General features: G+C 39.4%; 1 protein-coding gene across 32 annotated transcripts in view; it reads right to left on the minus strand.

The window, feature by feature from the left end:
* The window catches only part of BCLAF3 (BCLAF1 and THRAP3 family member 3), a 78,202-nt gene that overhangs the window by 32,812 nt on the left and 20,202 nt on the right, over nt 1-25,188 (minus strand). For 17 of the 32 annotated variants that reach the window (NM_198279.4, NM_001367774.2, XM_011545476.3 and 14 more), the window contains 7 exons: nt 24,553-24,627; nt 20,409-20,978; nt 19,373-20,035; nt 9,720-9,895; nt 8,107-8,221; nt 7,317-7,380; nt 5,082-5,197 (listed from right to left, as the gene is read on the minus strand). In NM_198279.4, coding sequence (NP_938020.2) covers nt 5,082-5,197; nt 7,317-7,380; nt 8,107-8,221; nt 9,720-9,895; nt 19,373-20,035; nt 20,409-20,978; nt 24,553-24,593 — 1,745 coding nt within the window. In that variant the 5' untranslated portion in view covers nt 24,594-24,627. Of the gene's footprint in view, nt 1-5,081; nt 5,198-7,316; nt 7,381-8,106; nt 8,222-8,468; nt 8,540-9,719; nt 9,896-13,408; nt 13,487-19,372; nt 20,036-20,408; nt 20,979-24,552; nt 24,628-25,188 lie in introns of those variants that run through there. The other 15 variants (XM_047441965.1, XM_047441966.1, XM_047441972.1 and 12 more) reach the window with 4 other exon arrangements.

Here is a 25,188-nt window from a genome sequence, read left to right on the forward strand (position 1 = left end):
TTCAAAGCTGTCAGACAGGGACATTTAAGTCTGCAGAGGTTACTGCTGTCTTTTTGTTTGTCTGTGCCCTGCCCCCAGAGGTGGAGCCTACAGAGGCAGGCAGGCCTCCTTGAGCTGTGGTGGGCTCCACCCAGTTCGAGCTTCCTGGCTGCTTTGTTTACCTAAGCAAGCCTGGGCAATGGTGGGCGCCCCTCCCCCAGCCTCGCTGCCGCCTTGCAGTTTGATCTCAGACTGCTGTGCTAGCAATCAGCGAGATTCCGTGGGCGTAGGACCCTCCGAGCCAGGTGTGGGATATAGTCTCGTGATGCGCCGTTTTTTAAGCCGGTCTGAAAAGCGCAATATTCGGGTGGGAGTGACCCGATTTTCCAGGTGCGTCCGTCACCCCTTTCTTTGACTCGGAAAGGGAACTCCCTGACCCCTTGCGCTTCCCAGGTGAGGCAATGCCTCGCCCTGCTTCGGCTCGCGCCCGGTGCGCGCACCCACTGGCCTGCGCCCACTGTCTGGCACTCCCTAGTGAGATGAACCCGGTACCTCAGATGGAAATGCAGAAATCACCCGTCTTCTGCGTCGCTCACGCTGGGAGCTGTAGACCGGGGCTGTTCCCATTCGGCCATCTTGGCTCCTCAAGAAGTCTTTAAAGGAAAGGCTAGTATGAGGACATGATGGCTAGGGCACAAATACCCATCTTGGATCATGAGACAGATGCTACATACAGAGGATATGGGAGGAAGAAGATCTAAGCAGCCTGGTTCCCTGATGTGTCCACTCTACCGTGTTGACCCTATCATGTAGATTTCCTACCTCTAATCTTTTTTTTTCACTTGAGAAGGAAATACTTTTTTTCTCTAGCTCTTACAGTCCACTCTCCACCCAGCAACCACAGTGATCCTTTTAAAATTTAAGTGAGATTATGTCTCTTCTCTGGTTAGAACCCAAAATGTTTTCTAACTTCATCCAGAATAAAATACAAAGTCTTCACGTCCTTCAGTTCTTCAAAGCCCTTCGTGATTGGCCTCATCTACTCTCTCCCTTTACCACCCTGTCACAACCCCACTGTCCCCCTTTCTATTCCTTAAACAAAAGCAGGCATGCTGAAGGTCTTTGCTTTTGCTGTTCCCTCTCTTGAAATACTATCCCCTCAGATAACCCTATGGCTAACACCCTCACTTAATTCACAACCCAGCTACATTTTTTAAAAGTCATAAGTGTACTCCATGATCACCCTAAATAAAACCATATCACACATGTCACTCTTTGCTATTAAATTTCCTCTTCTGCCTTATTTTCACCTATCACTCCACTGACATGTATTTATTTTCTTTCTTCTGCTATTAAATTATAAGTAACACGAAGACAAAGGTTTGTATATAGTTTTTCACTATATCCCCAGTCCTTAGAACAGTAACTAGAACAAAGAAATCAATACATAAATATCTGTTGACTATATGAATATATCTTTATAAAGTTCACTCTACTTCAGTATAGATTATGACTACTGCAATAGCAAGAACAAAAACTGATGTTTTCCCGTAACCTGCCCAGCTAAAACGACAGTCTGTCGTTCCAACTCCTTGTTAAAAAATAAAAATAAAAAATAAAAGAAATTCTTGGCAGTTTGATGTCCTCTTCAAGTCCACTGATACTATTTTTAAGCTACTTTATCAAACACACTCCATACCTCTATAACAAAACAACTCATTTACATTGTAGGAAACTTAGTAACTCCAGTTAGAAAAGGCAGAAATAGTGTGTCAGGAGAAAACATGGAGACATCAGAGTAAGAAACGGGTAAGAAGTGGAAGTAAATCCAGACCGTCCCCAACTTACAATGGTTTAACTTACAGTTTTTTTTTTTTACTTTACAATGGGTTATTGGGATGTTGCCCTATCATAAGTTAAGGAGCACCTGTAGAGAACAGATGGGTCCTAGAGGCTAGACAGAACCCCCAAGTGTTAGGTGTGCTTGTGAAAGATCCTAAGGCATCAGGGAATAGTAACCCAAATCTAAATGTATTACAAGTTAGGTATCCTCTGTCTTGTCTACTCCTTTGGGAACTCTTCATTCATTCAACAAATATGAACTGAGCTCAGGGCAGTGGGGATACAACAGTGAGCAAACACAGACAGAAAGGCTGCATACAACTTTTTGAAGGAAAGCCACACAGGTGAGAAATCACTACATCCTATGACTTATGATTGCATCATGTTTCATTTCTTTCGTATTTCTGTGGAAACTACCCTGACTTGATTTTAAAAGTTTATATAAAAACATATAATGAGGTCAATTTTTATAAACTGAATTTCTAAGATAAAAGGATAATATATTTTTCTTATTTAAATAAGGAAACTGAATTAGGATAAAGTGAGAGATTAATAAGAAGAGTTGGCAACGATGTGGAGCAACTGGACCCTTCAGATGCTGCTGGTGGAAATGTAAAATAGCACAGCCGCTTTGGAAAACAGTCTGGCAGTTCCTCAAAAAGTTAATCATAGAGTAACCATCAAACTCATCAATTCCACTCCTAGCTATATACTGAAGAGAAACGAAAACAGGTATCTGCACAAAAACTTGCACACAAATGTTCACAGCACAGTTATTCACAAACAGACAAAAAGTGGAAACAACCCAAATGTCCATCAACTGGTGAATGGATAAAGAGAATACGATATAGCCATACAATGGAATATTATTCAGCCATACATAAGAATTCTCATGCTACAACATGGATGAGCGTTAAAAGCATTATGCTATAGGAAAGAAGTCAGTTACGAGAGGCCACATATTATATTATTGAATTTATATGAAATGTCAGGCCAGTTGTGGTGGCTCATGCCTGTACTCCCAGCACTTTGGGAGACTGAGTCGGGTAGATCCCTTGAGCACAAGAGTTTGAGACCAGCCTGGGCAACATGGTGAAACCCCGTCTCTACAAAAAAAAAATACGAAAAATTAGCCGGGTGTGGTGGCAGGAGCCTGTGGTCCCAGCTGCTCGGGAGGCCGAGGTGGGAGAATCACCTGAGCCTCACGGAAGGTTGAGGCTGCAGTGAGCTGTGATTGTGCCTCTGTACTCCATCCTGGGTGACAGAGAGAGATCCTGTCTCAAAAAAAAAAAAAGAAAAGAAAAATGATTATATGAAATGTCAGGATTAGACAAATCCATAGATACAGAAAATAGAACAGTAGTTGCCAGGGACTAAGGGGGAAGGAGAAATGGGGCAGGGAGTGGCAGCTAATGGGTAGAGGGTTTACTTCTGGGGTGATGAAATGTTTCGGAATTAGATAGTAATGATGGTTGCATAAGTTTGTTAATATACTAAAAACTACTGAATTGTTTATTTTTGCAGGATGAATGTTAAGTAATGTCTCATTTTTAAAAACTCCTCATGGCTCCACTATGCCTCACCACCTATCCAATACAAATAAAATAATCCAACAGACCCAGCAAAAGACAGCTTGTAGGAACACATCCTTGCACACTACCACACTGTCCTCAAAGCTAGCATTCATAATACTTAATGCTGACCAGCTACTCTACCTTACACTCATCACTTTACTTAATCTTAACCACCACTGTGAGGTAAGTACAACTCTTATCCCTATTTTACAGATGAGGAAACAGAGACAAAATAATTTTCCCAAAGTCAGTCACATAGCTAGGAATCCAAGAGCCAGCCACTGAACTCAGGTCCAACTCCAGTGCTCAAGTTCTTAATCACGTCAAGGGGTAAAGATACATCCTAAAGCATCTTATGATCTTTAAAATATGCTGATTGTCTTAAATCTGTTTTTAAAATCCTGTTTCTTGGTACTGGGTTTCTTACACTTGTTGAGTCAAGAAAAGCATGATAGAGAGCTTGTGTCATTAAGGAGCACAGTCATGTCATGCATTAACCATATCATATTAGGAGACTGGAGACTTTCACCCAGCAAGGGACAACATTTTTACTCTTTCATTTTCAATTGTTTTATATACCTCAACACATCGTTTCACTATGTTTTAATTAGTTCTGAATTTATTGTCAGCATCAAGTCCATATATTCTGACCTAGTTAGCTACAGACTTGACTTAAAAGTCTTGTCAAATACATTATCTTAGCAATTTGATAGAAAAGATTATGGAAAAACAATTAGCACTGTCTCTTTGTATTCATACAGTCTCACTTTTTGGGAGATCCAAGTAGTATAAGAACTCAAGTGAACTGGAAATGTTGTCCTGTTCAATTATACCTCATAATCATATGGGGCCCCAGAGTTGCCGTGAGTTCCATCCACATGGTGTTCAGAACTAGAGATAAACTGGGGTTGATCTAGACTACTAAGAGCCCCTAAACAGAAGTATGAGGTTAAGAAAGAAAAATCTACTGAGGATCTATTTGCCATATATGACATAAGTACTTCACATGTGCCAACTCGTTTAATACTCATAACTGCCCCATAGCATAAATTGATTTTATCATCATTTTACAGATGAAGAGGCTCCAGAGACTAAGCAAATTTGTCCAAGATCGGTCAGCTTGTAAACTGAGAGAGATGAGATTCAAACTTAGGTCTCCTCTGCATTTTCTACTACACCTGCCTCAATTTCATGGACGACATCCAAAAATGTGGATTTTTTTCACTTTTTGTCAGTACAGTGATCCACAATTATCCAGTATAGACATCCACAAAGAGTCGCAAAAGATAACTGTACTGACTTCAGGAAATTTTCTACTATTCAAAGACTAACCCAGAATCTAAAGGGCAGAATGTATCAGAGTTTCAATCAGCTCAAGCTAAATAGTCTGTAAACTTGCTGGTCCTGCCTCCTGCTAATATTCTAAAAGTGGTAACACTCCTCATCAGAATTACGAAGACCTCAAATATTCACCTACCCCATAGTTTTTGTTGTTTAAATCAAACCGCATATGAGAATCACTGAATAACCTGGAAACATTTTAATAGATTTCACTTAAACATATAAGATGGATTTGAAGGAGCAAATCCCTATATTAAAATGAAAATTATCATCACACAAAAAATGTAAAAATATGGTAAAACCCAAAGCTCCCTGATAACAGGATGTTTGTCATCTACTGATTACCTCTCTGCAGCACTAGCTATGTGAAAAATGTGCTCATCTTCATTCTGTAACCGTTCTTTTCGCCTTCTTTCAATGTCATGTCGTAGGTCATTTGGATCTATTATTTTGATCAGAGTCTGAGGAATTTTGACAGAAGACAAACCATTCACATTACTTTTAGTTGCACAAAGACCATATCTAACAAGAACGTTAATTACAAGTCCTAGATAAGTTACCTTGTACTCATCCTGCTAATGGTATTGTAAACTAATACAAATATTTTGAGACACAATTGACAATAAACAGTCAGAAAAGTTCCTAATATTGAACCAGGATTCCCACTTGTGGGACTCTAACCCAAATAAAAGGTTATCTACCTAAATAGATTCAAAACATTATATTTAAAATAACAAAAAATAGAAGCAACTTAAATGTAAAAAAAAAAAATTAAGAGGAAGGGAAGAATGAGTAAATAAATCATGGTAAACTTAAGTCAAAAGAATAATGTACAATCATTTAATTTATGGTAATAAAGACTATGTGGAAGTCAACATAGAAAAGTGCTTATTGAAAAAAGTTAATTAGGCCGGGCGCAGTGGCTCATGCCTGTAATACCAGCACTTTGGGAGGCCAAGGTGGGCAGATCATTTGAACAGGAGTTCAAGACCAGCCTGGCCAACATAGTAAAACCCCATCTCCACCAAAAATACAAAAATTAGCCGGGCATGGTGATGGGCGCCTGTAATCCCAGCTACTTGGGAGGCTGAGGCAGGAGAATGGCTTGAACCTGGGAGGTGGAGGTTGCAGTGAGCTGAGATCGCACCACTGCACTCCAGCCAGGGTGACAGAGTGAGACTCTGTCGCAAAAAAAAAAAAAAAGAAACAAACAAAAAAGTTAATTAAAACTTAACAAGGGCCAGGTGCAGTGGCTCATGCCTATAATCCCAGCACTTTGGGAGGCCGAGGTGGGTGGATCCCTTGAGTCCAGAAGTTCAAGACCAGCCTGGGCAACATGGAAAAACCCTGTCTCCACAAAAAATACAAAAATTAGCCGGGCATGGTAGTGCATGTCTATAGTCCTAGCTACTCAGGAGGCTGAGGTGGGAGGATCACTTGAGCCCAGGAGGTCGAGGCTGCAGTGAGCCATAATTGCACCACTGTACTCCAGCCTGGGTGAGACCAGGACTCTGTCTCAAAACAAAACTTAAAAAGCCTCAGTCATAAAAGGTCATAGCGAATTCAGAGATTTTACATAAAAGGAATGTTATTATGGATCACGTGAAAAGAAAAAAGCATACAAAACTACATATACTATGATAGTGACTACGTTAAAATGCAAGCTATAAGACTGCCAGAAAAGACGATTAAATAATAGTTTGTGCTAAATGACTAAATTATAGGTGATTTTTTAAAAAACCACAGATTTCCTGTAAGTTGAGTATAGGACTTTGATGATTAGAAATTGTCTGAAAATATCATTTGTTCAACAAATTAACCTATCTCCATAAGTTCAGCAAAAATTATAATCATTTCACAAGTGAAAAAATTATTTATATATTCTATCAGAAATGTATTAAAATATCTCCTCTACAAAGACTCTTTATCCTCAATGAATAAATTAGCAGTTCTTTTAGAACTTGATATAATTCTTCTAAAACAAGAGCCAGTTTTCTTCCCTCCTGGCTAGTCAAGACAGTCTTTCTAATTAGCAAAGAAATGGGGGGTGGGAGGGGAGGTGTCGGGTGGGAACGACACACATGAATAAAGAAATTTAGTCCCTTATTTCCCTTATTTTGCTAGTTCATATTCCACAGAATGTTTCGTACATTCTGCAGTAAACAGAAGGGCAATATCAAATGAAATTTTTCGTTCCTGTGCATTCATTCCACGTACAATTTAAAAATATATTCCACGTGATTGCTTTGAAAAAAATAGGTACCTAACATACTTTCCATAAGCTTTACAGTGCGGATTTTGGGGATGAATATCAAATGCTGTAATTGCGTGTCAATTTTACAAAGCTGTTATCCTTAGGGATTGTCCCTCTTAGGGAATATTTTTGTCTTTTGTCAGTATTCTCACTCCAACCTGGCTGATAGTCAGAATCACCTGAAGACTTTTTTAATTTCAGATTCCTGGGTTTCAATCCTCCTTCTTCATGTACTTTAACTCCCTTTTCTCTCCCAACCACCAAGCCCCTTGCCGTTAATATACAAACAATAAGATAATTTCTCATCAAAAATTGTATTCACTAACCTGTTCCGATTCATAGATCACAGCTTGTTTACTCTGAAGCTCGGCCAAAGACATATCTATTCTCCTAAAATAATAAAGGCATAGTACAACTAAATAATTATGTTATACACTGATACCCTGATTCTACTATTACAGAACAGAATTTGAAATAAAGCTAGTATGTTTTGGAGCTAGCAAAAGAAACTTGCTACCAGATAGTTTTTCACCTATATGGCAGTCTCCCAGGATATACATATCCTGTGGAACACACTATAGGGAAGCTTTAGTGGTTCTCAAATCAGTAGTCTGTGTAATCTCAAACTTTGCTCTGGTGATATACTGCATTCTCACATGTATTCAAATCAGCTCACAAGACAGGGTACACCACCTGCTCCAACAAGTGCCAGCAGAAGACACGTGGTTTCATCTGGCTGCCCTCAGAACACCTATTTGTGACCACACGAAGCAACATATGATTTCGATGGCTTGAAAACTGTCTTTCATTCTTCTACTGAGGACCTCAGGAAGCAATTACTATTGACAGCAGAAGTGAAGTTAGGTATGTAAGCATCTTCAAAGTCCTACACATTTAAACAACGCTAGTCAATGTTTTCAGCGCATCCTATTCATTCCATCAAAGTGCAGTGGCCAGATAATGCTTGGATTATCCTATTATTTTTGTGCAGGAAATGCAATCCTACAGTCTACAGCAAGCCCAAGTGAGCAGGTTCGGAAAGCAGCCCCTTCCCAAATCTTTTCTGAGGTATATCCCCATTAGTTAAATGGGTATAATATGGTAATCAATCATTACCTGTGTATTTCTGGATCTGAATTCAATGGAATTTCATTTACATCTGCCTTGTGTATATCTTGCATTGTTGAGAAACGCTCATGTAAAGTAATGCCAGGTGATGGAAAATAATTTGCTGAAAAAGGAAATGAAGAGTTTTATCTCAATGTTAAGCTGATTTCACTTAAAAGATTACATATAAGCACAGAAAGAAGGGATTATTTTTTAAAATTCAACCTGTTTTCTCTTAAAAATATGTGGGACCCAAACTTATTTCACAGACTAATTTGTAGCGCTCACGTGCCTTCCCAAGCCCAAACAAGAGTAAAAACACCTGATTTATTAATCGAAGAATTTTCTTTCTATCTGACACGCCTGCTTACTTGTCCAGGGGAAAAGACAATGGCTCTCTCAAAGCAAGGACCTTTCTTCTCCAAGGTAAGACTTACTATATCTGGAAAGTAAAGATGGCATAGAGCTTCACAGTTGAATGAAAATAAAAAGTAACTTCAAAAACAAGCCTGAAACATCAAAACAATTTCAAACAAATACTAAATGTTATGTTTGCATATCACAGAAGGCCTTCTAATGCCACTTTACTTTAATTCACATTAAAGTTCATGAAAACATTTAGAAATCAGCTATGCTACACACTTTTAATAGGATACAGAGAAAGAGAATACACTTGGTCCATCAGAATGCTACTTAAGCAATCCTCTTCCCTAATTTACTGTTTCTGTTCTGGGACAATCTCCTGGATTTTTCTGCAAATCAGCTCCATTTCTGCCAAGAATCACATTTCCTTTGGGTGACAGGGACTGGAGCTGAGAGGATGAACTGTTTCAGACAAACTATGTGCTTTAAAGTAAATACATGCCTTAGTTTGAGGGACACAGAGGAAAAAAACTCATTTTCAAAACATATTTTATGAAGGTAAGAAAGATTAATGCAATTGTCTAGTAGGAAGCACAAAATAAAAAATTTTAAATTCTTGAAGGCCTCCAGTTTGTAATACCTACAACTGCCTTATTTGTGTAGCATCACTGGGGAAAGTTGTTCTATATCACTGAATTTTCCAATTAATGGAAACTCGCCAGAAGCAAAAACAAAACAATTTAATGCAAACCATTAAAAGTATTTATTACGCAACTCCCAGTTATAAAGAATGCCAAAGCAAACTAGAATCTTTCACTGATCACTCAGCATCATCCTTAAGATACAAAGTCCTAGTAATGCCCTCAGGGGGCTTTAAGAATCATAAAATGACCTAGGCTTCCTGATTTCTTGAGTTTCCTATCTGTTTTTTGTTGCTTTTTCCTCCCTGTTAGGTTACCAGTTATTGTTTCTTACTGCTCTCAGTATGCCTTTTCTTTCGCAGCAGCCAGCCTCTCCCTTTCTAACTTGAAAGTTCCAATCTACTAACAGTTGAAGCACAAGGTTATTGGAACTAGATATAAAGAACAACTAGGCTCGAATGAATGCCTGATACTCTCTTCAAAAGATTTCCTAATTCACAGTCTAGCTTACAATGAAATATTAATTACTATTAAACTATACTGCAGGTGTTTACCTGTATCTCGTGAATAGTATATTACTTTTGTGTTATCCCTAACGTATGTGCAAAATATACCAACCTTTAACTTGATGGATTATTGTTATGATTTCCTGAGCAAATTCTCCTGTAGGTTTGTTTTCAGTATTCTGAGTTGAGTCAAGATGTTCAAACACTGGATGAAAGTTCTCACTTTTCCTGCCAACAGCAACCAAATCATGTGACATCTGTCTCTCTGTGGAATAGCTAGAAGCAACCCTAGAATAATTTGCAAATGTTTAACTAAATTTGAAACTATTTTGTGGAGAAAAGAATTTATCAAAAATTAAGATAGCTACAAAACTAGAAAGATGTATATCTTTTCTTATAATTAAGGCACTAAATTCCATGCCATAAAACATGTACAATAACAAGTAGGAGAAAATAACTACAGATACATGGCTCTGAGTTCTTTCAAATCAGAGGTCATTAAATATTTGCCACTTTAATAATAAAATCCTTCAAATTCTAAGTGAAACAATTTTTACTTGAAAAATACAAGGTATTAAAGACACTTACTATGCAAAAAGTAATCGATTAGATTATTTTCTACTTCCAAATGGCCAAAACATTGTTAGTCCAGCAAAATTATTTTATCTTGAAATACTACCACACTTTAAAAGCTGATATCAAACATAAGAACCTCTCTAACTTAATAAAAATCCTTATATCTTTGTATCAATAATAAGAAGCTTAGAATAGTATTTTGAAATAAAATTCTGTTAAGAGATTAACTTAATTACAAAGTCTCACTAAATTCTCAGGAAATAGTCTTAGTTGTTAGGCAAAGTTATGATTGTTAACACCAGTTACAGTGTTCACCCTCAATGTACCCTTAAAGAAATACTACCATTTATTATATAACCCCGGCTATCTTACCACTTTAATGCCTTCTGAATCTTATAACTTTTGTTAAGAGCTCTCCTGACCTCTAAGTACTTTTACAAACTAATGGTTATGATACAGAGCTAACAATTATTCAGGGCTTACCACATGCCCTCATGTGGGGGGCTTAGAGCTTACCAACATGATCTCATTTCATCTTTACAATAACCCTATGGGGAAAGGTGCCACCACCCTGAGACAATGGATGTCTTGGTTGCTTTGTTTCACATCCCAGAGATTGAGCATTCAAATGAACATGTCTTCCAAGTGTTGTAATGGAAAACTATACCTTATTCCAAGAATGCTGCACTTGCTTAAAACTACTCAGAAATGCTTTGTCTGCAGGCACCTCATGCATCAATGAAAAAATTTTCTCATTATTTTATATTTATATCTCATTTTGGACCCAAAATGGCACTAATCAGCTTGTACCTATCTCATTCCTCTGTACTTAACTCTAAATTGCTTTTGGCTCTTCTCAAAAATCAAGTTCACTGTCTAAAGAATTGACATTTGCAACTGCTGGGGTTCTTAATGGCTACATTACAGGCTCAGAAGATAAATCTGAAAGAGAGCCCTGAAGTATGTTTTAAATAACAGGACACCACTGGAATAAATAGCTCATCATAAAGCAGAAAGCAAACAGACAGATGTGTCTGGGGGTATGAGTGCACGCATGCACATATGTACTTATTTATTTAAGTCATGTAACAGCCATATATCCAAACTGCTGCAGGGTTATGAGGGGCTTACAGATATTCTTTAAAAATTTTAGCTCCTCTAATAAAATGGTTTTGAGTGTCTATTTATAACTTATCAGAGGAAAGGCTTCCATCTAACTTTCCGTGCTCCCTGCTCTCAGACCAGCGTTGCCAGGGTCAACTCCCTGCCAAGGCAGAAACACAGAAAAGTAATCATGCAGCAGGTTGACCGCACTGCTGTGGTTTCGTTGATTCATTAGAAGGACTTTCATTAGAAAGAAGGCCCATTTCCCTTCTTTCCTCCTAATTTGCTCCAAGCTTCCCACTGTGTATGTGATAACTAGCTAAGAGACATTTGCTGGCAAATGTTAGAACACCCCGTAACGACCTCCACTAACAAAGAATTACAAATGCTCTCTGTTTAAGGGGGTCTAAAGTTACAAAATTCCTGTGCCATAGCAAAAGAAAAAATAGCCTTTAAAAACATTTTATAGTAGGAAAATAGTATATTTAAATAGAACTATACAAATGGTCCATCCACAAGAGGAAATCAGTTGATAAGGTTTTTTTCTGGCAGCCTCAGTTTATCCCAAGAGGAAATAAGCTGATAAAGATGTTCAGTTTTCCAATGAGTAATTATTAACATTTACTTATAATTTCTTACAAATTACTGCTGAAACTCTTGTCCCCACTCCATGCTCAATCCTCAATCCATAGGAGTTACATACTTTGAAGCTATTATATATTTAATTCCTAAAATCTTAGTGTTTAAACTTGTTATCCATTAAAATTTATCCTAGAGTTCCTCTACTACAAGATCTTTAATAAAAAATTTAAATTATCATTTTCTAGAAAATATACATTTAACATAGTATAACCTCCAAATTTTAGTCTTTTAAAAACAATTATGATACTTTTGGTACAAGAAAAACCCTCTTTAGACTTGAGAATGCAAAATGTTCTAAATATTTATATTTGTAAATGTAATCATCTTTTGGTTCACATTTTACTTTTTACTATTTCCTGTGGCATGGATTGATTAACAAGTTAATAATTTCAGGAAATACCCCCAAAGCAAGTAGTTAAGCTAAAAAGATCAAATGTTCTCATTTGAGATGCATTTTAGACAATTTAAAAAATTAAAATACAGCCAAAAACCTCTATTCTAATACTATTTCTGGTATCAGTTTCATTAAATCTTCCAAGATCCTTTGTTCCCTCGACTGCACTTTCCCCGTTTATTTTTCTGTTTAAGGATATTTCCACTGATGTTCTCCCTGAGCGTTGTGGGTAATAACCAAGAAAATGTAAAAAGCTACATTAAACCTTAATTTCCTGTTGCACACACTTAGGACTCATCAAAGAAATGAACTGCATGGCAAAACGGCAACAAAAAACCCAACAACAACCAAAACCAACAGATTCCCCTGCCCTCTGGAAGCTTCTATCAAAATCCGTACGACACATATAAAGTTTTCCTTTCTGTCTTCTTCCAACTAATAACTAACATTTCATACAGCATCCTACAGTTCATATAAAGCACTTTCCCAATTACAGTCACATGCAGCATAACGGCGTTTCCATTAATGACCACTTAAACGATGGTGGTACTGTATTTCTAGTGTACCTTTTCTATGTTTAGATATGTTTAGATACACGAATAGTTACTGATGTGTTACAATTGCCTACAGTATTCAGTACAGTAACATGCTGTGCAGGTTTGTAGCCTAGAAGCAATAGGCTCTACCATATAGCCTAGGTGTGTAGTAGGTTACATCATCTAGGTTTGTGTAAATACACTCTATGATCTTCAGACAGTGGCAAAACTGCCTAACAAGACATTTCTCAGAACGTATCCCCATCATTGCACAATGCATGACTGTATATAATTTGCTCCTGTCTTCCCAAGAACCAATTTAGAAACTGTGGAGTTGATGGAAAAAGTTCAGGGAGATTGCTCCTCCCCTAATTCCTCACTTTTTGCACAAAAGTCCTCTAGTGGGCCTCACCAGCCCCAACATGCATTCAGTCTACTTCATAGACAGCAATCCTCTGGCGGCCAGAACTGGGCTGCCAGCCCTCTCCTATCAGCTGATAATGTCAAATCAGGCTGGCAGTCGCAGCATTCTTACCTTTCAGTCTCCTTTCCCTCTATTCCTTTTCACTGACTGCTCAAAACCACACAGGTCAAAGTTCATGTGTATGTTTTTCTGCCATTGTTAACCTGTAAATATAAAATTTCTTTTGCCTCCATGTGTCTGCATACACCAGCCTTTGAAGCCTAGCTCACATGTCAACTACATGATGCCTCTCTTCAATCTCCCAGCTTGGTACCACCCATCTTCTGCTGAGTCACACATGCACTCCAATAAACCAAAGGAGGAGGAACCTAATCGTATGCAGCTCTACAGTCCCAGGGCACCCTAACAGACTGTCTCACACAGGGTAGGCCCTCAAAAAATACCCACTGAATGAATAAATAATGAATCAAAAATGACTTGGTCAATTTGAAATGAGTGTTTCAGCTAGAGAGATGATAAGGTCAAGTGCGGTGGCTCACGCCTGTAATCCCAGCTACTCAAGAGGCTGAACACTTTCGGAGGCAGAGGCAGGAGGATTGCTTGAGCTCAGGAGTTCAAGACCAGCCTGGGTAACACAGCAAGACCTCATCTCGACTAAAAATAAAAAAAAAAAAATAGCCAGGCATGGTGGCGTGTGCCTATAGTCCCAGCTACTCGAGAGGCTAAGGTGGGAGGATCGCTAGAGCCCAGGACGTCAAGGCTGCAGTGAGCCGTGATCACACCACTGCATCCAGCTTGGGTGACAGAGCAAGACTCTGCCGAGAGAGAGAAAAGACTTCAACATTTTATTTTTATTTTCTTTTTGAGACAGGGTCTGGCTCTGTCACCCAGGCTGGAGGGCAGTGGCGTGATCTCGGCTCACTGCAACCTCTGCCTCCTGAAGCCAACCTCCCACTTCGGCCTCCTGATTAGTTGGGACTATAAGTGTGCACCACTACACCTGGCTAATTTTTGTATTTTTTGTAAAGATGGAGTTTCACTATGTTTCCCAGGCTAGTCTCAAACTCCTGAGCTCAAGGGATCTGCCTGCCTCAGCCTCCCAAAGTGCTGGGATTACAGGCGTGGGCCACCATGCCCAGCCAGACTTCAACATTTTAATTGAGGCCAATTTAATTTTTTTTAACTTTCTTGGCTTTTATTTTTATTTTTTGCTTAACTTAGACCAATTTGAATTTAATATTTTAGTATAAAATTTCTAATATATACTAAAGTTCAGAGATGAACATTATGAGCCTCCATGTGTCTGTCAACTCAGCTTCAATGGTCACCAACACATGGCCAATCCAAGCAGACTCAAAGAGCCAGGAGGAACTGCAGGTTAATTTGGTCCCAAAAGGTTACAGCCAAGTGACCTGCCCAATGTCACAAAGCTGATCAGTGGTCCATAGGAAGACAAAAACATATGCACTCTAACTGCCAACAGAATCCCTACACAAGGCCCCCTAAGAGACACCAAGAGAAGCTAGGGTCAAAAATAGGAATGAAAGGGAACCTTCTCTCAATTAATTTTTGATTTTAAAATGCATATGAGAAATTAAAGTAGGGGAGAACTTTAGTTTTCTATGCTATATAACAGCAAGGTGGCAGGTTTGGGTATAAAAAATATCCCCACCTGCATCTTATTTTGCCTCCAGCGGAACAGTGTCCATCATAGGTACACTTATGTGACTAGGTTCCCTTCCTTCAATCTCAGTTATGGCTTTTCACATTGTTCCCTGCCTGCGTGATACCCATTTCCTCAGAGTGTCAGGGTCCCAATGTCCTCTGGGGCCCATCCCCCACCTCATCCCCTTTCAAACTAGGAAAAGAGCTGATAGGGGTAGAGACACCCCTCTATGTCTCTTCAGTGGGAAATAAAGGATTAGACACAAATGTGGCCAATGTACTCAGTCCACCATCAACTCTGATAGCCATGAATGCTGATGGACAACCTTCCCCATGTCCCAGGTGTCTCGTATCAGCTTCCCAGGAGATCAAAGGAGTCTCTGATCCATCAGCAGCAGCTTATTCTGCTCCAGATATTAGTACCACCTCCTCCCTCCTCCTCTTCCTTCCTGGCCTAGCCAAGGGTCAAGCCCTCACTCACTCAAGCCCAACATTAAACTAACACCTGCATTTGTCTGCCCCAAAACATCCAGATGCATATATACAACAGTTCATGTTTTGCATATGTAACAACCTTAGTAGAAATTTTCATACTGTGATTCCCTAACTTACATTCTGAAACATATAATTATGACTCAGATGTAATTTCTGATAATGAAGTTTCTGACAGAGTGGATCATTAGAATACAGTCTTTCTTAACAGAAGCATTAACTATGCAGTGAACATTCAAGCAAGTGTTTACCTACTGCTGTTCTAGATACAAACTAGAATCTAAAAAAATCACAGTGATAACCTTATGTTTTCAACCATACTGACAATTGGAAGAACAAATATCAATTCTCAACCAAAGCTAAGTAAATAAATGCACAAAATTAGCCATCTTAGCATTTCCAAAAAAAAGCAGATAAACTCTCTAGATGTTAACCAATAAATAAACTTCTCTCTGCACTCTATGATTATTTTACTCTTTTCTAGAAAAAAAAATCTAATTTATTTTAATAGTTGAAAACATAATTCTACTGAGGGCATTATCTTTGTTTTATGGATCAGTCCACATATAATTAAATCCAAACCACAAAATTCATCCACAACCCATTCACCAGGAAATAAAGATTTTGTTGACTATGACGCTTTATCATACTGCAAAGATGCATATATTTGCTCAGTTATTTATTTTTCAGGTCTTTGAACAGAGAGGATTTGCAGTGGAGGCTATTACACAAGCCATCCTGCAGGCCCTGGGCAGGTATTCAAATGGCCCTGGTATGCCACCAGATCCCATTGACAGATTATGAGATTTCACAAAATCATAGTTTATAAATTCAAAAGATGCAGCAGTCTCCATTTTAAGCCCATTTTTGTGACACATGATAAAGATCAAGCTTCCATTTCTCATATCAAATTATAAAATTAACTGTTCAGTATCTCTAATGAGGTCTATTAAAATAAAACTCTTCAAAACTGGTATTTCTAGCATTCTTTAAAAGTGTTACAATTTTTTAATTCTCTTTTAACTATAACACACTTCATTATTAAATATGGGGGTATCATTACTTTTATTTTTTTAGTTTTTATTTTTGAGACAGGGTCTCGCTTTGTCACCCAGGCTGGAGTGCAGTGGCACAAACATGGCTCACTGCAGTCTCGATCTCCCAGGCTCAAGCAATCCTCCCACCCCAGCCTCCCAAGTAGCTGGGACTATAGGCACATGTCAACACACCCAGCTAATTTTTGTATTTTTTGTAGAGATGGGGTTTCATCATGTTGCCTAGGCTGGTCTCGAACTGTTGAGCTCAAGCAATTAGCCTGCCCCGGCCTCCCACAAATGCTGGGATTACAGGCATGAGCCATTGCACCTGGCCACATCATTACTTTTATTAAAAAGTTAAAGATTTTTATGCATTTGATTGTATATAATTTTACCTCAAAAGAAAAAAGAGGAACTGTAAACAAAAATGTATAAGGTATCTAAATGGGAGTGTACTGACATCTGCAACTTACTCTGAAAAATATCCAAAAAATAAGGTGGAACAATAGATGAATAGATGTGTAATTATGAAAGTAAACTGTTAATTGTAGACTTTAGGTGGTGAGTATATAGGCGTTCACTGTAGAATTCTTTCAGCTTTTCTGTATGTTTGAACATTTTCAAAGTAGAATGTTGGATAGAAAAAAAGCTTAAGGCTGGGTATGGTGGCTCATGCCTGTAATCCTAGTGCTCTGGGAGGCCAAGGAGGGAGGATCACATGAGGTCATGAGTTTGAGACCAGCCTGGGCAACATAGCAAGATTTCTATCTCTACAAAATAATTTTTATTAGCTGGGTGTGGTGGTGCAGGCCTGTAGTCCCAGCTACTCAGGAGGCTGATGCAGGAGAATCACTTGAGCCCAGGAGTTCAAGGCTGCAGTGAGCCATAATCGCGCCACTGCACTCCAGCCTGGGTGACAGAGCGTGACCCTGTCTCAAAAAGAAAAAAAAGAAAGAAAGAAAAGTATGTATGTTATATGTTATATATGTATATCTTATAGCCATCAGAATGTAATCCAATAATCCAAGCTCCCTTTTTTTTTTTTTTTTGAGACAGAGTCTCACTCTATTGCCCAGGCTGGGGTGCAGTGGCATGATGATGGCTCACTGCAGCCTCAAACTCCTGAGCTCAAGCGATCCTTCCACCTCAGCCTCCCAAAGTGCTGGGATTACAGGCATGAGCTACTGTGCCCAGCCCTTAAGGTAACATTCTTAAACTTGGTACTTACAGAAGCTTTTATGCTTTTAAGATGAAGAACTAGTAGGAGATATAATAGCACAAAATTATTTAAGACATATGTAAAAAGATGCAAAATTATTAATATGATACCACAGCAGTCATGTGTAAATATACATAGAAAAATAACTAGACTAAAATGCAAATAAAATTGTTGTAGAGTAGTAGAACTATGGGTGATTCCCCCCCTTTATTTCTTGAACTTTCTGTAATATAATCATAAATGCTTTCTGAGCACATATATAAATGCACATATGTATATTTAAAAATATTTTCTACAAGTGCAATGAATGTAAAAGAACTATGAGGTGGGGTGTTGCCATGTCTAAATTTAAGAAAAGGAACAGGGCCAGGTACAGTGGCTCAGGCTGATAATGCCACTGCTCTGGGAGGCCGAGGCGAGAGGATCATTTGAGGCCAGGAGTTTGAGACCAGCCTGGGCAACAGAGCAAGATTCTGTCTCTACAAAAAAAGAAAAAAATTAGCTGGGCATGGTGGCATGCACCTATAGTCCTAGATACTCAGGAGGCCAACACAGGAGAGGCAGGAGGATCATCTGAGCCCAAGAGTTTGAGGTTACAGTGAGCTGTGATCATGCCACTGCACTCCAGCCTGGGCAGCAGAGCAAGACCTTGTCTCAAAAGAAAAGAAAAAGGAACAAAAAATATTTTGTTTTACAAAAAAGGACTTGTGGGTTTACCTCCCTCCCCATTCTACCATTTGGATTTTGTTTTCTCTCATTTTTGGTTCAAATACAAATGAGTCAAGCATGAATATAAACATACCAAATCAACATGGCCCCCCCCTTTTTCATTCACATACTGGTAGTGTATTAAGGTCATGAACAGTTTTAGCTGTTTAGTTTTAGGCCAACTGCAGTGCTTTATTATTCTCAGAATCCATAAATGGAAGTAATATTCGTTAAGGAACAAAGCACGTGAGTCTGCTTTTAAGAGAATATAACCTACAACAACAACAGTCTATTTTTTTAAAGAATCATTAAGGGCTAAAGTAAATGTCTTATAAATAGGTATCTTCCCAGATTATGGTATAATCTCCTCTACCTGGGAGAATCTAGTTGGTTGAGCCCCAGTCATTATGAGACGGCAGCAAAAACCACATTAAGTCACCTGCCTCGTTGAGTCATAAGGGAACACGTGGATTTGAGCCCGAGCCACTCTGACTTAGACAAGTCACTTCATCTCTCAGGGTCGCGCTTTCCTCCCGTATAAAACTAGGGCCTGCTAAGGTCCCTTTCAGCTCAAAAATTCTCTGAATTTCAGGCAACAGAGAGCACAGGCTCTGAGAAACTGAGCAAGGACTAGGTTTTCTTGAACTCTACCCAGCTAATCCTTGGATAAGGAAAACCTGGCAGCATAAAAACACGTGAATTCATGAAGAGGAACAACTCCACAGAATGCCCCGCATCCAAGAAGCATCTGGAGATAGGATGTGGAAACAAGGAGACATGAAATTGCTCCCATGTAACTAATCACAGGAAACAGCCTCACTACAGGGCTTTTTTTTTGGGGGGGAAAATTCTTGGCAATCCCTCCCACTTGATGGACTCTAAACACACTATTAATTCCATTTTTGAAGCTGCAAATAAAGATTGTAGAAACATTATTAAATATCATAAAGAAAAAACAAAGATAATACCTGAATGTATCTACTGTTTTCTTCACATCTACTTTAACTGTAAGTGATTTCTTCCTAAGATTGATAGGCGAGGGTTTCACATCAGGAAGTTTTTGACTTTTATCAAGTTGGTTACTGGAAGAATTGCTCTCTTTTCTACAATCCCCTTCTTTCTTTATTTTTTCCTTCCATTTGTCATTACTAGATCGCAAATCAACATCATTTTTATTTGAATAAGTACAGGCAATGCTGTCTTTCTTAGACGGTTTAAAAGGTTCTTTGACTTGTCCATCTTGAGTCTCTCTCCCTCTTCCAGTATTAAAACAATCTAACTCTCTATTTAGAGGGCCTTTTTGAAAACTATATTTTCTATCTTCTTCCTTACAGTACTTCTGAGTTCTCCCATCAGAAAAGTCCTGGTCCCCATCCAAGAGCTTAGGACGTTTGTGACGATAGTCATAGGATACTTTGGTTGCTGAACTGGTCTCTGGGTGTTCCCTCTCAGCATGTCGATAAGTTTGGGGCCCAAGGTTCCACTGGTCTGTGTCCTCTTGGTAAGGTGGGAGGGAATGCTCAGGCTTCCACTTTGGGTTCCTGGCAGGCTCTCTGCTTTCATACCTCTCCACGTCTTTAGGTCTTTTTGATGTGTGTCCATATTTTCTGAAATCACGATCCTCAGGATACCTGTGTTGACATAAAGCAGTTTACACTTGCAATAGAGAGAAGAAAGGGAGAATTTATATGTGTAGAATGTCGGGCAGCATGGCTTTAAATGCAGAATGCAGTGGCAAGTTAATCTATAACCCTTTAAGCCAATTCTATAGGCACAAGGCAGTTAAAGAGGAAAATACCATCTTTTAAAAGTATTCTAGCCATCAACATGATTTACTCTAAAAAGAAATACTTCACTACTACCAGTACCCCATAATTAAATTACAATGCTTTTTGTCTTTTTAGACAAAAGCTTTTCAAGGTGGTTATCTTCAACCATAAAGTAAACAGATCTTTTCACTTGAGGCTTTATACCAAATTACCCAGGTTTAATGTTTTCCTATACCTCTTCTGAAATGAGCTCCTTGTCTCAAAGTCTTCAGAGCCTCTTCTAGTTGACTGGGAGTATTTTTCTTCTTGTATCCTCTGGTGCCTCAACTCATCTTCATGCCACTTTCCTTCAAATCTAAAAGAATCTGCTATTGACCTCTGAGGTGGTTTCCCTCCTTTTCCACTTCCTCTAACTCTGTGGTCATCAGGACTATGCCCTCCTTGCACTTTCTGGGGATAAGAATTCCTTTCATGCTCTTTGTAGGGTATACCCTCTGAGTATTTGGGCATATACTGAGCTCTCCTGTTACTGTCCCCTCTTCCAGGCGAATATCCTCTGTGAGGCTTATACATATAAACATTTTCTAAAGAGTTTCTTATGTTAGGGGAAGGTGATCTATGTTCATAAGACTGGTAATATATATTTCCACGAGAGGGAATCCTTGGTTTACTCTGTCCATGTTTCTCACTGTCCATTCTCCACGCGACGGGTCTTTTTGGATCCTTCCTATATTCACAGCCATAATGCCCGTGTGAATGTCTTTGCTTGTAGTGTTCAGCATTTCTAGGTACTGGTGATAAAGACCTATGTAAACAAACACAGAAAAGTGTAAACCATTTAATCAACTAAGCGTGTCTCAATATGACCTACCAAAAACAGTTGCTTTTCCTAGGATCCCTCGGCTTCTTCCACTCAAACTAAATTCATCAATTTGCTACATCTGCATTCTAAATTGTACATCTGGGGGTCTGATTATGGTACTGCCCAACCAACAAGCATACTCTTTCCATCTGAACTAAGGTATTCCACGTGCTTATCCAAATGAGCTGAGCACACCTGTCCCATTGGAGGAGGGCCAGCTTAGGTGCACAGCAGGATCCATTTTGGAAGACTGCTGACAGCAAAGTTCTGGCAAAAGAAGATGCAGTGACTTCAAAGGGCCAGTCAACAAAAGCTTACATCCAGTTCAAAGGCCAGGTAAGAAACAAGCAGGAAGGCAAGACTCACACAAATCAATGTGTAGGAGGGTCTCCAGCAAACTGAACATTACCTCTGACAATAAATTAGAGTCTAAGATTTAATGATGCTACAATTCAAACTCAGACCCAAGCCAGGCCCAGAGTTTCTCCAGCTGATTGTCTACTTTCTCTACTAAGGCTGTATCAAGGAACAAAACATATGTACTTAACCGGGGGAAAAGGGGGAACAAGAGGCTCTTAAGACTTGAATCTCATGCTTAGTTCCTCCAGAAATACCTCTAACATAGGTAAGTTGCTTTTCTTTCCCAGATCTGTTCCTTTGCATATCTATGGAAAGATGTGCTGTTCGAACAGAGCTTGTAACTTCGGTGAAGTTATACTTTAAAGCAGCTACAATGCTCTCCAGGGACAGCACATCCTTTATGGAACTACCTTCTCCATACCTCAGCATTGCCAACATTGAGGCTTGTGTTTCCACTAAGGCGGAAGGCTTCTGTATCCAGGGAAACCAGTCTGGGTTGCCTAGACGTAAAGAGAGGTGTGCCACTATCTGGGACACAATAAAGTTCCATTTTGCACCTGGGGACCTTTCCACCATCTGAGCTGCCCAATTTCTCCATCTCCTCCCTGAGGGTTTAATGTCTTCTAATCAATGAGGAAGCGATCCTTGCAGCTTCTGTTATGGCTCTCTCTTAGAAGCTGCCATGGAGTTGGCGCAACCATGAGTGAAACCCTTTCCTTTCGATGATAAGTCTGTGCCCTCCCTACAAGAAAGGAGGCAGATCTACCTTCCTCATGTACCTACTAGGAGTTATATACTGAACTTGGCAATATTGCCCTCTGGAGTCACCAAGCTAGACATACTGGCAAGTGTTATTTAGCTAAAGCAGAAACTCTGCCATCCAGCTGGCTACACCTCATCACAGGAGGAAGCAAGTGGAGCCTCTGAGGACTTCCTGGAAGATTTCATCTCTTTCACAGCCAAGGAGAAAAGCTGGCAGCCAGAGTCAAAGGTCTTGCAGTCTGGATGGAATTCCCAATAACTTACTTTTAATCCTTACTTCACATTCAATATCGGTTTGATATGCTATTTTATATGTTTCATAGCACAGTGTCCCTTTCTTCCGAAGAAGTTTGCTGGAACAGTTGCTATTGTTTTTGGTTTTCCTAAAGGAACAAAAAAGACTCAAGGAGTCTGTTGGGAGATAATTCTCCACAGTCTCTTGAGTTCTGCACGCCTTGCGAGCGCCCTGTGAGCAGAGGCACTGACAACCTTTGTTCTAAGGCAGTGTTGCAAGATAGAGATAGGGTCTCACTCAGGGAAAAGGGCTGATGTGTTTGCTGTCCAGGATAATAAAATAAATGTCTCCTCCAAGGCAAAGGCTGCATGATGGGTTTATCTGCAGCCCCTGATAAGGGACTCATGTTCCTCAGTTGTACTATAACCCCACTGCCTGTATGGAAAGCTCGCTGCCTCACGGCATCCATCCAGTCAGTGGCTCTGCAGTCCCAGCCCTCACGGGACCCAGAGGGTGGGGGGAATGACAGGAACATGAAGCTCAAGCTGCTTGCTGTATTCTGAGTAATAAAGGCCTTTGTCTCTGACCCAAGAGTGCCCTGTGGCAGGCTAATAATGTGTTAGTTTGCAAGTAAGGTAAAATATCAGATCCTTTATAGTTCTTAACAAAGAAACCTGAGAAGGAACCTGGAACTCAGGCACTAAGCTTGGCAGGGTCTCTTGTGCCCCTCATCAGCGCCTTTTGTCTTATCAAGAAATGACCTCTGTGGGCCGGGCGCAGTGGCTCACGCCTGTAATCCCAGCACTTTGGGAGGCCGAGGCGGGCGGATCACGAGGACAGGAGATGGAGACCATCCTGGCTAACAGAGTGAAACCCTGTCTCTACTAAAAATACAAAAAATTAGCCGGGCGTGGTGGCGGGCACCTGTAGTCCCAGCTACTCAGGAGGCTGAGGCAGGAGAATGGCGTGAACCCGGGAGACGGAGCTTGCAGTGAGCTGAGATCACGCCATTGCACTCCAGCCTGGGCGACAGAGCGAGATTCCATCTCAAAACAAAATAAAAATAAAAAAAATAAAAATAAATGACCTCTGTGATACCCTGTTAAAATCATTCACTTCTATACATTCCCTTTTCTTTCTCAAGTTCCTTGCCATTGCAAGTGGCTCCTGTGAATTACAAAATGAAAACTGTTGACAAAATGATTGATTAGTTACTGCATAACTGAAATGCACAAGCAAAATGGGCAAGTTATCTTAACATGAAAAATCTTGGTCTGCCTTTTTTGTGTGAAATGATGGTCCTTTTTAAGTCCTAGAAAATACTAGTCACATTTACAGCTCGGTGCCTTTGCTCCTGCTCTCCCCCTTAACTAGAATATTTCTCTTCACTCTTTCTGCCTTTAGAAGTTCTACACATCCTGAAACGCCCAGATAAAATTGTTTTCATCTCTTCTTTGAAGACTTTCTTAGTACCCTCTTTTTCCTCCACAAAAACAGAATTATTTCCTCCCTAGAAATCCAGAATCCTTTGTCCCAATAAGTAGCACAGCATTTTCCCCACTGTATCATAGTTGGCCATGGTGTCAATCTCCCAGCCCAACCACGTGCTTGCTGAGGCCAAAGAAGATGGCATATTTGCCTTTGTAGCCCAAGAACCTGCCTGTAGCAGGTGTACAATAAAGACTGGTTAAATTGTTCCAATCTAATGATACATAATTTTGATACTACCAAGAAGGAAGGAGAAATGGACTATAATCGAACTATTCAAAACTCTATTATTCTGCCATGAAGAAGAAAGAGGAAACTCCCTATTTTCTAACTCGAAATTTCTTTAAACATATTAATTATGAAAAAATAAAATGAAATCCATACTGAGGAGTTCTAAACTGCTCACTAATTCAAAAAATGTAATACTCTCAAAGATATTTCTCACTCTCTCTTGCTGTGGCCACTGCACTGCTTTTCATTATTTAACTCTAGCCACCTGCTATGATTAAACAAAGCTGTCAGCTACTAGAATGTAGAAATACAACCTCCACTATGATAAAGTACCTACTGTGAATAACCAGGTCCCATGAGCTTAAGTGTTTACTAGTACTGGTGAAATTGAAAGTCACAGCACATCCCAAATCCAAGCTTACTCTGCTAAGAACTGCTCACCTGTGTTTCCACCTGGGGGATCTAGATCGTGACCGTGCCATCCTTTGACACGTGAGCCACTATCCACTTTTTACACTGCAAAGAAACACAGGATTAGCAGGTTTGTAGAAAGACCCTACAATTTGATCTAAAACATAGCGAATGCTGCCAATTGACTTAAACCCTTTGTGCCTCAGCTTCCTCATCTCTAACATGGAAATGATAATAATAGCACCCCTTCTTATTGGAATGTTGTCAGGATAAAATGAATTAAATCAGGGGTCAGTAAACTGTCTGCAAAGTGCCAAGTGGTAACTATTTTAGGCTTTGCAGGCCATGTAAGGTCTCTGTCACATCTGTTTCTTCTTTTTTTTAAAGCAACTCTTTAAAAATGTAAAAATGTGACAACATTGAGATGTGTCGTAAGTGTAAAATCCACATCAGATTTCAAAGAGTTCATATAAAAAATGTAAAATATTTTATTGATGTATTTCTAATATTAACTACATGTTGAAATATTTTGAATATACTAGGTTAAAGGCACTATGTTGGTCAAATTAAAAAAATAAAAGTACAAAAACTATTTAGCTCAAGTGGGTCATACAAAAATAGGCCCGGCAAGTCAAATGCATTGTAGTTTAATGACCCCTAAATTAA

Source organism: Homo sapiens, chromosome X (assembly GCF_000001405.40).
Source record: "Homo sapiens chromosome X, GRCh38.p14 Primary Assembly".
Classification (NCBI taxonomy): domain Eukaryota; kingdom Metazoa; phylum Chordata; class Mammalia; order Primates; family Hominidae; genus Homo; species Homo sapiens.